We start from the raw sequence: 15,484 nt of genomic DNA, 5'->3' as shown, positions 1-15,484 counted from the left end.
CTTCTATGATTTTTATAGCCCTTCCATAAACTTTAAACATCTCATTTCTCTTATTTTCTTCTCCTTATTTTTTCCCCACATGAACCCATTTCGAGCACTACTTCATCTAAGAAGTAGAAAAAGTGATCAAACACTGGGGCTTGTTTTTTCCCCAACAGATATGACTATAGTTAAAACCTTACCTTCAGTTAGTCAAGAGATCATGCTAAACAAAGAAACAAACTAAAAAACAACCTTACCTTCTGGGCCAGAATAGAAACGGAATTAGAATGCATTCAAATGTGATTCAAAAAATAAATGTTCAAGGAAACATGTGCCAGGTCCTTGTCAACTGATTAGAAAAAATGGAGAGGAGGGGCCTTTTGAATATGTAAATATGTCACCCACAAACGTAGTAAATTATGATGAATGTTCTCAAATTTTTGACTGTTCATTTATTTTAAAGACTATACAACTGTTTTTAATTTGTAGAGAAGGTCACAGTAACATTTATGAGTGGAAGGTGTATTTTCAAGTATCTTCTATCAGATGCTTTAGTAAAATGTCAAGATTCTCCTGCATAATACTAAACAAGATTTCTTTCTGTTTTTTATTTATTCATTTTTAAACAATTATTTTGAATACTCTCAAACTGAAAGGTTTATAATATTTTTAATTACAGTGAGGGTTTCTTCATAATTAATAATATGTTTTTGAGTTTAAATATGCTCTTTAAAAAACTTTTAAAAATTTTTATAAAATTTGTTGCCCAGGCTGGTCTGAAACCCTTGGGCTCAAGTGATCTTCCTGTCCTCGCCTCCCAAAGTGTTGGGATTACAGGCATGAGCCACCGTGCCTGGCCAAGTCTAAATATACTTAAAAATTGATAACCTCCTCTTCCAATTTGCTCAACTTCAAAGCAAAGAAGTAAGAAATAGGGCAGTTGAAGTTAGGGATGTTTATCAGTCTAGAAGAAAAAGTAGTGGCTCATCTTCATGTTTGTATTTGTTCCAGTTTGATTTTGTAAAACTAATGGATGGCAAACAGCTGGTCAAGCAGGACTCCAAGGGCTCTGATGATACACAGCACTCCCCTCGGAACCTGATCTTAACTTCGCTTCAGGAGACAGGTTTCATAGAGTATATGGATCAAGGACCTTGGTATCTGGCGTTTTACAATGATGGAAAAAAGATGGAGCAAGTATTCGTGTTAACTACAGCAATTGGTAAGCTGCTTTGCCTAATATGTTGAATTGACAGTTCAACCCTAGAAAGACACAATCAGTGATGACAGTGTCCTGGGGGTTATTTAAGCTTATTGCTCACTTTGAGTTGAAGTCATTATTGAGGAAAGGTTACTATGATAAAAGTTTATATTGTTGTTATCATTGATGTTGTTTAAATGCTGATTAAGATTTTTTTTAATGCTACTTTATTTGTTGCTCTTCTAGGACACTTGCCATACATCTTTTTATGTGCTCTCAACAGAAATAATTACCTTAGTAATATTATTACCAAGGCTACATAGATGAACAATTTCAGTGAAAAAGGGAATAAGCAAGTTAATTTAAGTTCTGTTATTTTTAAAAAGCAATGAATACCTTTTTCAAATAGAAAAAACTAGTATCAGTACAGTTCTTCTTTAGAACAACTGGTTCTAGAAGCATTAGGGCTTTAAAATACAACATAAGATTATTTACAGAAGAATATTAAGGATAATAACTTGAGACATTCAAAGCCCTTTCTTATAGAATATTTTAGTTTGAAATTCATCACAATGTCTCTTTCAGTGTGCTCAGGGCCTTTTAAAACATGTTCTTTTTAATGCGATGCCTGCCTATACTCATTCACTTTCACCCTAATTAGTTTCAGACGTCTCACTCTTTTGTCATTTTAGGATAAATAGTCCTCGTGACCCTTTGTGTGAATAAAGCTGAGCTCCTTAGCAATTTTAGAGTCCTGAAAATAAACAACTCATAGACACAGTATCGTATTGTGTGAATTTTCCTAAAACACATGTCTTTTAAAAGACAAGAAAATATTTTACAGCTGTCAATTTTCAATACAATCCTCACCACTTTATCCTTTAGTTAACCTGTTCAGCCATATGTTTAGGAAGATGTGTTGACTTTAATAGATATACCATCTGCTCTTTTTAACAATTATGTTCTATTTTTACTTGATGCTGAAGACCTTGAGTCAATAGAAAATGGTATTTCAGCCGTAAGATTATCAAAACTTTCTTCTAAAGTAATCAGAAAGTCAATACAATGGAAATGATGATGTTTCCCCTAGAGAAAAACTCCACTGATCTTATATCTTCAAAAGACAAAATATTTGTTTGTTAAAATAGAAAATAAATTTTTAAGTCATGTCACTGTTTTGCTATTGACAGGCTCAGTGGGGCAGGTTCAATGGATGAATATTTCATGGCATTTTTCTATGGAGGCTTAATATTAATTATGTGCATGTCGAGGAGTTATAAAAGGTTGAGTTTCTCCTAAAAATTAGATAAATTAGAAGAAATAAAATATTTGTGAAGACTTTCTGTCTTCCTATTATTCTTACTCTTTCAGCTCAAGTTAAAACACTAACCGATCTATTAACCTTCCAAAAATCAATAGACCCAGAAACATGCTTAGAGGTTTTTTCCTGTCCCTTACTTCCTCCCCCAAAGAACCTAAACTTTGAGATACAATTCATATCATCCACATATCAAGCTGTCAGTTTCATATACAACAACATATTTGCTCTTTGCTTAATGCAAGTCAGTCTCTTTACTTTTCTCTTGTCTTTTTAAAATTAGAAGCAACAGAAACGTTTCTGCTACCATTCCACTTAAAGAAAACTCAAGTAAATTTTCCCAAAATCAAAAGGCTTGTAAGTCATTCACCCTAAATTCTCCTCTTTCTTTTTTTTTTTTTTTTTTTTTTTTTTTTGGAGACAGTTTCTCTCCATCGCCCAGGCTGGAGTGCAATGGCACGATCTCGGCTCACTGCAACCTTCGCCTCCTGGGTTCAAGTGATTTTCCTGCCTCAGCCTTCAGAGTAGCTGGGATTACAGGCACCTGCCACCACTCCCAGCTAATTTTTGTATTTTTAGTAGAGACGGGGTTTCACCATGTTGGCCAGGCTGCTCTCAAACTCCTGACCTCAGATGATCCACCCGCCTCAGCCTCCCAAATTGCTGGGATTACAGGCATGAGCCACCATGCCTGACCTCCTCATTTTATTTTTGTTTTTGAACTTTATCTTAATCAGAGTAAAAAGAAGCCAATATACTTGATTAAACAAAGTCAGATTTGTATGAATTTGCTCTAAACGCTGCTCATTTATCTATTTCATGATAATGTTAGAATCAGTTGATTGATCTCAACTATATTTGGTCTGCTACTAACAAGGATGAAGACAATTAATAACTAACATTTACTAAATGACTAATATAGGTCAAACACTGGCCTAAGTTATTATATATTATTTTCCAGTAGTATAGGCAGCATTGTCAGTATCCCTTAATCTCAGGCAACTTGCTCTGTAGCAGGATAATAGATAGCATTTATGGAATGCCACTCTGCTCCAAGCACTGTACTAGATGCTTTACACTCAGTTATCTTGTTTGATTCTCATCACAACCCAGATAGCTCAGGAATAGTGATACATATATTACAAATAACTGAATGGAGGCTTGAAAAGATTAAATAATTTGGCAAGGTCTCACAGACAGCAAGTGGCAAAATTGAAATTTGAGAACCAGTATGTCTGATTCCAAATTCCATACCCTTTAGACTATACTCATTCTATAAGAGTATTCATTACATTTAGTTTCTCCCATGAGAATAACTACCAGAAACAAAACCTATCATCAGCGAAGATGCAAATATCAAGGGGCTTTTGACTGTAGCATAAGAACAGGGTTTAAACATAGAACTTCAAAATTATTCTCACCTCTAAGAAACTGGACTCTAGGAAGTAATTCTGAAGTAAGATTTAAAAGATAGAAGTCAAAGATTACTGGAGGCCAACATAAATAGAAAAACACATTTTTTTTTCATGGCTAGTTGTTTATGTGTTCCTGCTGCAGCCATCTTCCTCCTGGAGTCCCTCGGCTGTTCCAATGTCTCTTTGATACCCAGTGGAAGTGGCAGCTTCAAAGCCTATATTGCCTTCTCTTCTCATTTGCATTGCTGGGGTTAAGCTTTGTAAAGCCCTTTGAGCTCAGGGACAGTTCTTAAATAAGTCAATAAGATGTACGGATTTTTATTTATTTTGATAGCAAGCTTTATTAAACATTTTTTCCAGAAGAGCTACATTCCCACAAGGCTGCTTCCATAAAGTTTCCAATAGGATCTGGTATGAAATTAAATTCAACTATACTTATTTTTGAAAGCTTCCTCTATGGCCTTCTACTAACCATCCAGCATGGGGGAAATTCAAATGTAGACTTAAGAAGTGGCACTACTGCTTGGTACAAGGAAGCTAGATAAGTAGAAAACAGATAAATAATTGTTCCATCTCTGAATGATAAAAAGTCTCTTTATGCCTTTTCATAACTACTTGTCAAGTAAATTAGTGATTTTCTGATGATAACTAGTGTTTTAATGAGTTAAAAATAGTTGGCTCTTTGCTGAATGCTACATTTCAGTCAGCCCAGGTGTGGTTAAGTGAATGTCAGGTGTTATTTGCTTATCCATTTGAGTTTTCTAACACTGTGATGAGGGACCAGACTGGCATAAACCCGCAAAAGGCATGTGTTCACATAGTGGTTAGACAAATAATATCTTCAATTGATAATAGGGTGGCTATCCAGCCACTGGATTCATTCTCAGCTTTTAAGAATCCCCCAAATGGACTAGATACCTCTTTCTTTTTCTTGTTTTTATTCTTCTCAAGGCAAAAATGCAACATTTAGAACAAAGTTCTCTAACTATGGAAGGTTACTATTTAAAGCATTGGTTCTCAATGTTCTCATGTGGTGATTGTCAGAATGTAGATGACTGGGCTGCATTCCTCTGAAGCAGGTTTGGTAGATCTAGAGCTGAAACACAGGCATCTCCATTTTAAGTGCCCCAGGTGATCTACTGATACAAGTAATCCACAGGCCACAATTGTAGAAATGCTATTTCTCGACCCTCATTATAAATTCTCACTCTTATTGTTCAGTGGAAGATATCAGGACCACCTCCTAGAATCTCTCCTTCTAATCAGAAATAGCTTATCCAAGTGAAACTTGGTGAAGCAGGTAATTTAGATTGAAAAGGGAAAAAATGGTACACAAGAAAAGTGTGAGTTTAATAGGCCAGAACACTAAACTCAGAGTCCAAGAATGCTGAGTATGAGAAATTTATAGAAAGGTGTAATGAGGAGACGATAACACACACACACACAAACACACACACACACACACACACACCACAAAAAAAAATCCCTGCGAGAATAAAGCATAGGTACCATAATAGTTCAGACTTAGAATTTGATCATTATTGTGCTCAAACACAATTTTAAAATACAAACATTTTTTCACCTCATTGTCAGAGAGACTGACATTTGTATAATATTATAGATTTTCAGAGAAGTTACTGTAAGTCTTATAAAAGTTCTGTTGCACGGTACATATTTATGTCACCAGAACTACCTATCGGTACCTTCAAAGCCATCTCAATTCATCTGAAATCCATTCTTCTCTAAGAATGGATTGAAAGGAAATTAGTGGCAGAAAACGGATAAGCATTTACAGTTCAGAAAGCATTTCTCAACAAAATACTTAGGTTCTAATGCTTTTAGTGGTGGTGAATTTAATATGAACACTTACTTTAAAAGCCTTCCATTGTCACTTATTAATGAAAATGAAATACTGAATATCATATTTAAGCTGTCAAGATAGTAGATTAAATAAGTTGCTAGAGAAGAAACTTTATTTGCTAAAACCTAAATTTGAAAAATAAACAGTAGACTTAGTCATCTGTGTTACATTTTAAAGCCTGTTTTGCTTTTGAGAAATGCCCTGTAATCCTGGTACATTTTTTAGCTTTATCATGAATGTCTCTTAAGAATACAGTTGAACTAGAACATTTATGTGCTTTAGAGATAATGATGTTTTTTGGTTCCACTCTTGATTGGCCAAGTCAGCAAACCCAGGGCCCTTTTTATAATTTTGTACTGCATGTGACATCTTACAGATGTCTTTGTATGTGATTTTGAGCAGTAAGTGCTCCACAAACAGCAAAGGGCAAAATTGTCATAGGTCCAGAGTTCCTGCAACTTAAAAAAAAATAAAGACTCTACAGCCTGGAGATGCGTTCATTTTTTTTATCTTTTTCTCTGTATTACTAGAAATAATGGATGACTGTTCAACCAATTGCAATGGAAATGGAGAGTGTATCTCTGGCCATTGTCATTGTTTCCCAGGATTCCTTGGACCTGACTGTGCTAGAGGTAATGTTGCTCTGTTATTCTGATTGGTTTAGGAAAATAGATGTGATTTCATAACCCAGAATTAGTAGTAATAGTCATAGTAAGTAACATTAGTAGTGGTGACAGCAACAGCAGCAGTGTTCCCTATGGCTGCTGCCAAAAGCTGAGCACTTACTATGCCAGGCACTGTTCTAAACACTTTGTGTTCCGTCTTTTAATTCCAACTTCCTACAATAGCCCTATGAGATAGGTCTGCTATTATCCAATTTTTATGGGCAAAGAAACAATGCCAGAGAGTTTAAGTGACTTAACCAGGGTTACCTAACAGCTGGGATTTGTAGATAGGTTGTCTGACCAGTCACTATGTGATGCTTGTATTTCCTTCAGAAACTAATTCATAATGAGCTGACTTTAAAAGTGAACTAAGTTGATAACTGCTTGTACACACCAATGTATGTGGAAGGGGTGGGTTATCACCAAATGAGTAAGGAGCCTACAAAGTAACGACTGGAAAGTCAGAAGTCAAACTTAGCAAACTTCACTCTTCCTGGACTTGCCCATAGTTTAATTTTTGAAAAGCTTTAGGTAAATCACATCATGTTTTCCCGTAGACTTACAGTTATTATTTCAGAGATGTTTTCTGCTCATTTTCACTGTATTCTTAAAGTTCCCAGTCTGCTAATATTTTAATATCAGGTTTCTCAGACACTTGGTTTCTTTCTATTAAATTCCATTCAGTAGCGAATTCTAAAACACTTGCTAGGTTCCCAGCACCATGATAGATCTTGAGGAGGTGGGGGTTGAGTGTGGAGGTGATGGTTGGTATTAAAAAATCAATAAGACAAAAAATACAGGCCTTGTCCTCAAAAAGTGCATAGTTTTAATAAGGAGACTAACAATGACAAAGCAGAATTAGCATTCTAATAAAGGTCTGCACAATGTGTTATAGGAACAGACATCTGTCCAATAGAAATCTATTTAATTACACAACTTTTTAAAGATAATATTTTATAACATTAATAACTTCATTTATTGCTTTTTAAATTTTCAGATTTTGCTTCCTAAAAGTAAACACATATCTCCCTGAGGAAGAAAAATATAAGAAAGAAAAATCCTAGCTTAAAATAATAACAATAACAGTTTAAGAGTAGGGTGAGATCAAATGCAAGTACTTGAAATAATTTCTCCACTCAGGATATTTTTAATTTACCTTTATTTCACTCCCATAAGAGGAAAATTCTGTTTGTAATCATGAACATGTGCCTATTTAATAAAGGGTAAGACAGAAATAGTACAATTTTTTGCCTGAAATACGAAAATCAATAGAGAATTGCTCTTTGGAGACTTTGAAAGCATTATGAGAACATTACAAGTTCATTTGCCAACCTTCAGATTCCTGCCCTGTGCTGTGTGGTGGGAATGGAGAATACGAGAAAGGACACTGTGTCTGCCGGCATGGCTGGAAGGGGCCAGAGTGTGACGTTCCGGAAGAACAATGCATTGATCCAACATGCTTTGGCCACGGCACCTGCATCATGGGAGTCTGCATCTGTGTGCCAGGATACAAAGGAGAAATATGCGAGGAAGGTCAGAATCCCATTTTAATCTATTGCTTCAGGCTTTTCTCTCACTCAGTTGTCCAAGGTGTCATTCTGTTCTCCTAGTAGAGATGCAAGTGGCCTTTGCAAACAATAAATGCTCAGCGTCTTAGTACATGCAGCAGAGGGTTTGGGTCAGCGGAGCTCTTGTCTCTTCTGACAGATTCTAATGTTATACATGAGGCTGTATCTGTGACACTTTCAGAGCAATAATGAAAAATAGTATTGTACATCCCTAATTTCTCTCACTATTTTCTAGGTTGAGAATGTCCATATTGATGATTTTAGGTGTTAACTCATATGATTTCATTATTACAGAATGCATTATGCTACATCTCACTTTAAAGCACATAATAAAAATAATAATATATGCACGTTTGCAGCCATTTTGCAAATGTTTTCTTTGGGAGTGTTTTGTAATTACCATTACTATTATTGCTTTATATTATTTATTTTTACATACCTCATGCTGAAACTTGACCTCCATGCCTAAGGAAGCAGGCTTACTACTAATGAGTTTCAAAGCCATGCCTTTATATTAAATTCACCCCAAAGGAGTCTTTATCCCCCCAAAATTTTGAAATGGCAAGTTTTATCATTTAAAGAGACGCACTGGAAAATAAGTTTACTAGTAATCAGACGTTTTTCATGCTACATTCCTCAAACAAGACTGATTTCAGAAATAATATTAAACCATTACCATGGGAGATGGTCTCATCATAACTGTTGTTCGGGAAAGAGGCTGCTGGAAATGCACAATAATTGCTTTTTAAAGATGGCTCATTAAGACTATTACACAGCATTCTAACGGGTTTAATCTCATTCCACTCCATGAACAAGCAAGACTTTAGCTTTTCACCTCCCATTAGCGATAGTAGAATTTTGGTGTGATGATTATATCTGCCATATATATATATATATGTATATGTAAATTTATATATATATGTCTATATATATATATGCCATATATGCCATATATATATAAATTTATATATATATATGGCATATATATGTATATATCTGCCATATACATATATATATGCCATTTATATTATATATACACATATATATATATATATATATATATGCCATTTATATTATATATAAATGGCATTTGGCCTAGACAAGGCACTGGAGTTTCTGAGTTACTTTCAGAAAGTGTTTTTATGGTGATCCAGCTGAAATAATTATATTTAAGTTGCAAATTCATATGCTATATAGACCCACACAGTGTTAGTAAAAAAATACTATCACATCTACAAATTGCCATGAAAAACATGTAATCTAATTAATTTAGACCCCTCTAATTTAAATTTTGTAAGCAGTTTAGAAAAGAGTTCACTTAAATTTGTCTTCTCCGGGGTCACTAAGAATATCTGTAGAATAACCAAGATATTAAGGAATAATGCTCAGTACATTTAATGGTATAAATTTTTCCAATGCAATAGAAAAAAAGATGTTTTAAGTCAAACTTTGCAGCAGGAGCCCACAGGCTGAACCAGGCCTCTGAATGGGTTTTGTTTGGCTCACACTGTGTTGCTGCTGTTGCTGTTGTTTAATGTGACTTATTTGCCAAAATTTAAAAATAGGGAACTGCCACATGAGAATTCCTATTTCTGGCTTCTCTAAACACTAGAAAATCTGGTGACCCTGGGCCCACATTGCTACGTGGTGGCAATCAACTGGAGCCAAGTAGCAGCAGTTCTTTTTAAAAGGGCGCTTGCTTTCAGTTTGCTCCCAACACACCCTTTTTTTCTTCCATATGGCCCATTTCCTTCCTGTATGCCACCTGCCTGGCCCCTTTAGCCATATGATTTTGTGCTTCTAAATTAAATATGACATGAATGATTTAAATATGACTTCCATGAATACATTGAAGCAGGCTTCTTAATAAAATAGGCTGTATTAAGTTAAATACTACTTTATTAAAATTATTATTCTTTAATATAACAAAATGGCCTTCTTCTGAAAACAGATTCTATACTTTGGACTTTCCCTCTCTCTTCAAATCATGAATCAAATTAGATGTACCTTCTGGTATTTATTTGCTTATTAGCTCAGATAATAAATTATTGTGCTAATGACTCCAAGCTCTTGGGCTAATTATAGTGGCAATAACACCAATTATAATAGTGCTTAGTTAGACTTACTCTGTTCCACAGACCCAAGCCACACCCTAAAACTAGGCAGTCTTGGAAATGCAGGCGGGTTGTCACAGTCTATTTGCATTGCTGGAGAAGTAATTCAAATCATACGTCCTCATTACGATTAGTTATTTTAGTCTCATTTTATTTGTATAGAAAGACTAGAAATTTGGAAATCAACCTTTCTATTTCCCATGGAATGGTTACTAGTTAAAATCACAAAACAATTTTTCCCCCAGGCAAGCACAAGAACCTACCTCTAAAACAGTATACACATTTGTTAGAATGTATACAAAAATTTCCAGACTCACAGAATCAGAGACAAATGGAATTGGATCTGTGATATTCTAAGACACTGAAAACTATGTCACCGTGTTCTCATAGAAGGAGAAGCCATGAAGAAGTGAATTTTTAAATTAAGTTTAAAATATTACATTTTCAGTACTTTTAAGGAATAAATGAGAGATTATAATAAATTGATGTAAATTTTATTATTTCATGCAACAGCATTCACCTCACCCAATACCTTGAATAATCCAAATTTCAAAAATTTATATAAACTCCTCTAGACATATCAAGTAAAAGTCTTCTCTGGGAGCTATCGCTTCCATTTTCAGAAAGGATAAGGAATGACTTAGCAAAAACTCTTGGGCTTTTTTGCGAAGCTGAGCAATTCCTGTTGAAGGCCCACAGTACTCCACCCACTTATTTGTGTGGGGGTACTGCACACTGTTCACAGTTTCACACAGCACATGTGTGGTTTCCTTTTCCTTCTCAATTGAGATTGCAACCATTGTGATACCCCACCATGTTTTGAAGTGTTAATAATATGGTTTGGACAGAGTGTTTGCATGAGTCATTTTATTGCCTAATTAAAGCAGCATTGATGATATAAACTAGGAAATCAATGTAATCTCCGTTTCATCATACTAAGGTATGTTGGCCATACCTGTTCACTATTAATCACCCCTCCCCCCCACTTTTTTGTGCCTTCAGAGGACTGCCTAGACCCAATGTGTTCCAACCATGGCATCTGTGTAAAAGGAGAATGTCACTGTTCTACTGGCTGGGGAGGAGTTAACTGTGAAACACCACTTCCTGTATGTCAAGAGCAGTGCTCAGGACACGGAACTTTTCTTCTGGACGCTGGAGTATGCAGCTGTGATCCCAAGTGGACAGGATCTGACTGCTCAACAGGTGTAGTGGAGTTAATTTCCTTCTCCTTCCTCTACTCTTAAATTCTAACTGTTCCTTCCTTAAGGCAGTGTTTCTTAAAATATGATCTGTACACCTTTGTGAGTCCTAAGAGGTTTCCAGGTATGTCCTAGGTTAGTATTTTACTGCATTTTTATTTATAATACGCTGTTACCTATTTTTTTCATCTTGTTTTTCCTTGTAGGTCTGTGCTTGAATTTCTGTCTTCATTTTGTATTCTCCTACAGTTATTTAATACATTCCCAAGTCTCCTACTGTCAGTTCTATGCAGATGATTTCAAATTATATCTCTCCCAAACTCAAATAATCTGGCATTTCCAACCATCTGCGAAATATTTCTACTGGGTGTCCCATCACTTAAAAGCACAACTTAGCCCAGGAACTCTATCCCATTTTACATATTGCTATATTGCCACTCAATTGCTATTCCTACAACATTGCTTTCCTTTTTTCATTCCCTACTCTAGCATCTTCTATAGTTTCCCATTATCTGTAGATAAACTTCAAGTGTCCTAGTCTATGATCAAAAGCCTACCACAAACTATTCCAAAAATCTTTCTCCAGCCTATCTTCTATTTTTGCTTCCTGCATAAATCGTTCCTTTGCCAAAGTAATCTATGTGCTCTCCTTACCCTTAATGAACCATATTTTTATGCTTTTCTCCATGCCTTTTCCTCTTCATGAGATGCTATTGTACTTCCACCTAGTGAAATCCAACCCGTCCATCAAGACTAACTATAATTTTAGCCATTCCATAAAATGTTTCCTGATCACATCAACAGGGATCCCCTGATTTTTTTTTTTTTTTTTTGGAGATGGATTCTCGCTCTGTCGCCCAGGCTGGAGTGCAGTGGCGCAATCTCGGCTCACTGCAACCTCCGCCTCCCAGGTTCAAGTGATTCTCCTGCCTCAGCCTCCCGAGTAGCTGGGACTACAGGCGCGTGACACCACGACCGGCTAATTTTTTTGTATTTTTAGTAGAGATGGGGTTTCACCGTGTTAGCCAGGATGGTCTCGATCTCCTGACCTCGTGATCCGCCTGCCTTGGCCTCCCAAAGTGGCAGGATTAAAGGCATGAGCCACTGCACCGGCCAGGATCCCCTGAAATCTTACCATGCACATTGCTAAAGAGCACAGAAAACATTGTGATGTAGATATGTGTGCACATGGCTTGTCTTTTTGCCTGAATTATAAGTTCTAAAAATAACAAGTCATTCTTTATACCATTTTTCTTCAAACCATGTACTCATTAAATAAGTATAATTAATAAGTGGTAACTCTTAGAAAGCCTCTGCCTATGAATTTTGTTAAAGATGTAAAATGACGTGGTAAGCAGGAAAGATTGAAGCACTGTGGGACTTTTTGTACCACTGGATTAGCTCATGAGCTGAAAAGTCTGTGATCCTACACCGTAAGGAAAGAGGAGAATTTCTCTGTTAAAAGGCTTAATTTTAGCGTAATAATTCACTGCAATTCTAACAATACTTCACTGAAATTTTGTTGCCTCACATAGACGTAATACAGGAAAGAGGAATACATTTTACAATTTCAGAAAATGATCAAAATGCTAAAGGTAATCTAATAATAACGAAAATGAAAATCTTAAAAACCATATATATCTATATCCTTAGGTATAGGATATAGATATGTATATCTCTATATACATATAGAGGTTATATGTATATATAACCTCTATAACCTTTATGTCTAACAAATATACATGTGCCTGCTAAGTGCTTGGCATGGTACTTGATGCTAGGGTTATAGTAGTGAACACGGTGGATGTGGTCCTTGCACAAATGGATCCTACAGTTTAGTCAGAGAGACATTGAACAAGTTAGAAAAAGGTTACAAAGGGAAAGTTTCTGGGTATTATGAGACTGTACAATAGGGACCTAACTTGATTATTAATTTACTTACTAAATGTTACTGAATACTTTCCATCCTTCCATGTTTCAGATACACTATCATGGCTTAGAGCTTTAAGTTAAAAATGATAATATTAATGTTATTATTATTGTAGCAAACACATAATAATTATTATGTATTAGTCACTATTGTAAGCATTGTACATATATTAACTCACTGATAACAACTCTGTAAGTATGATAATCATGCTTACTTTACAGATGAGGAAACCAAGGCACTGAGAGGTGAAATAACTTGCCCAGAGACAATCATATAATCATATAGCTTCTGGCTTCACAGTTCATACATTTCACCACTATACTGCACTGTCCTCTAAAATTTATTATCTAACTCACCACATATAAAAATGTATCATTGTTGGACCATGTCCAGGGCCCTGTGTCACAGAGCACAAAGGAGGGAGCAGTAGACTATTTTTGTGAGAAGAAGCCTTACAGTCAGGTAAGGTTTTGTAGAAGTCTTAACATTTGAATTAACACCAGAATGATGATTGCATGTTTATCACATGGACAAGAGAGGAACGAACATTTCAGGCAGAAGGAGCAGTTTAAACAAAGAAATAGAGCTATGAATCTAAATGACACATTTGGGGACTTGCAAGCCATTGGGTATAGCTATAGCCTAGGAGTGCAGAAGGAGATAAAACTGGTGAGATGAGCAGGGGCCAGAAAATAGGGAGTTTTATTTACACACTATGCTGAGGAATTTGCATTTCTTCTTGTTGCAATAGGAAAGCATTGAGTGATTTAAAACAAACCACCTTTGAGATAGACTATTGAGAAGACCAATTGTAGCTGAATGATATAAGGAACTAAGAGACATGTGCAATGTGATTATTGGAGTAGTCAAGGAGCATGATGGTGAGAAGGGCCTGAATTGAAGCTGTAGTTGTGAGAATGGTGAGGTGGAAACAGACTAGAGAGGAATGACCACGGTAGATGTAGAGAAAAGAGACAGGGTAACTGCTTTGGATGACTAGGCAAAAGTAAGTGCCGCCAACTGAGAGAGAAAAGACATAGGCCGAAAAGTAGGTTTGGGGCAGAGGGGCCAGCTATGGTGAGCTCAGTTGTGGACATGCTGTGTTGTAGGCATCTGCAGAAGATCCCGCTTGCATATGGCCAGCGAGGGGTTGATAGTCAATAATGAAATTAGAGAAGAATCCTGAGCTACAGACAAATATTTGGAACATAGTTTGGGACCACAGGAATGCAAGCTACTGTCCAGGGAGAGTGTGGAAAATGAGAATGAAGAAAATCAGAACCCTAGAGAACACCAACATTAATGTCTTTACTATGGTAGGGTGCTTTACAGTGAGTCAAAAGCTTGCCTCTTTATATATGATTTAATAAATACATATTGATCAAACAGTGATTCTGAATCATATAATTGCTCCCTCAGATCACTCACATCCTTTATGTGCCCTTCCTGATGCCTCAGAATTAGATAAAATTCCTGGTAATGTACTACTCTCCAGTTGCATAAATTCAAATATTTGTATTTCCATTGAGTTAACATTAAATTCAATGTACTGAGAGTTTCTCTTTCCCTGCCCATTCCTACTCCCTAACACACAAAGACATGCACTAGTCCTGTTGGCCAAGAAGAAAATCACAGAATGGGAGGAAAAGGGTAATTATGAACATGCCTGTATGTTGCCCCCTCCTTCTCTCTCTTCCAGATGAAGTACCCTAAACCCTACCCCACTCCTTTCTCACCCCAAACAACCCTTACCCACCAAAACAAATGAAATGATGAGGGAAAAAAATGATAGCCCTATAGAATATTAGATCTGGAAAAAAGTGTAGGTATCTGATTCAATATTCATTAAATGTTCCTCTTCCATCCATCTCAGCATCCCTATGGATTTTAATGCACTGAGGCACAGAGAAGTTAAGCAGTTTGCCTCACAGTGTGAGAACTACTGCACTAGTCAAAACCTCCTCATTTACTTGTTTATTTGCCTAACATTTCTTGAGCCTGAGCCCCTATTATGTCTCCGACAGCATGTGAGGCAATAGTATACAAAGAAGGATGAAACATCTATAGTTGGGGAGGCAAATGTGAATAAAGGTGAAAATACCTTGCACTAAATGCTAAAAGATAGAGAGAGAGATACAATGTGCAAAGAGTCTTTAATATTTACTGATGGTTGAGGAAGTGATCACAAAAGACCACAGATCATGAAGGTCTCTGTATGCCATGCCTAGGAG

General features: G+C 36.1%; 1 protein-coding gene across 13 annotated transcripts in view; it reads left to right on the top strand.

Annotated features, from left to right (window-relative positions):
- TENM1 (teneurin transmembrane protein 1) overlaps nt 1-15,484 on the top strand; it is an 828,410-nt gene that overhangs the window by 551,195 nt on the left and 261,731 nt on the right. For all 13 annotated transcript variants that reach the window (XM_017029210.3, XM_017029211.3, XM_047441760.1 and 10 more), the window contains 4 exons: nt 994-1,204; nt 6,308-6,409; nt 7,781-7,975; nt 11,127-11,327. In XM_017029210.3, the coding sequence (XP_016884699.1) occupies nt 994-1,204; nt 6,308-6,409; nt 7,781-7,975; nt 11,127-11,327 (709 nt within the window). The remainder of the gene's footprint in view (nt 1-993; nt 1,205-6,307; nt 6,410-7,780; nt 7,976-11,126; nt 11,328-15,484) is intronic.

The sequence above is a fragment of the Homo sapiens genome, chromosome X (assembly GCF_000001405.40).
Source record: "Homo sapiens chromosome X, GRCh38.p14 Primary Assembly".
Classification (NCBI taxonomy): domain Eukaryota; kingdom Metazoa; phylum Chordata; class Mammalia; order Primates; family Hominidae; genus Homo; species Homo sapiens.
Note: the sequence above shows the minus strand (reverse complement) of the source record. Positions and strands in the feature narration are given on the sequence as shown.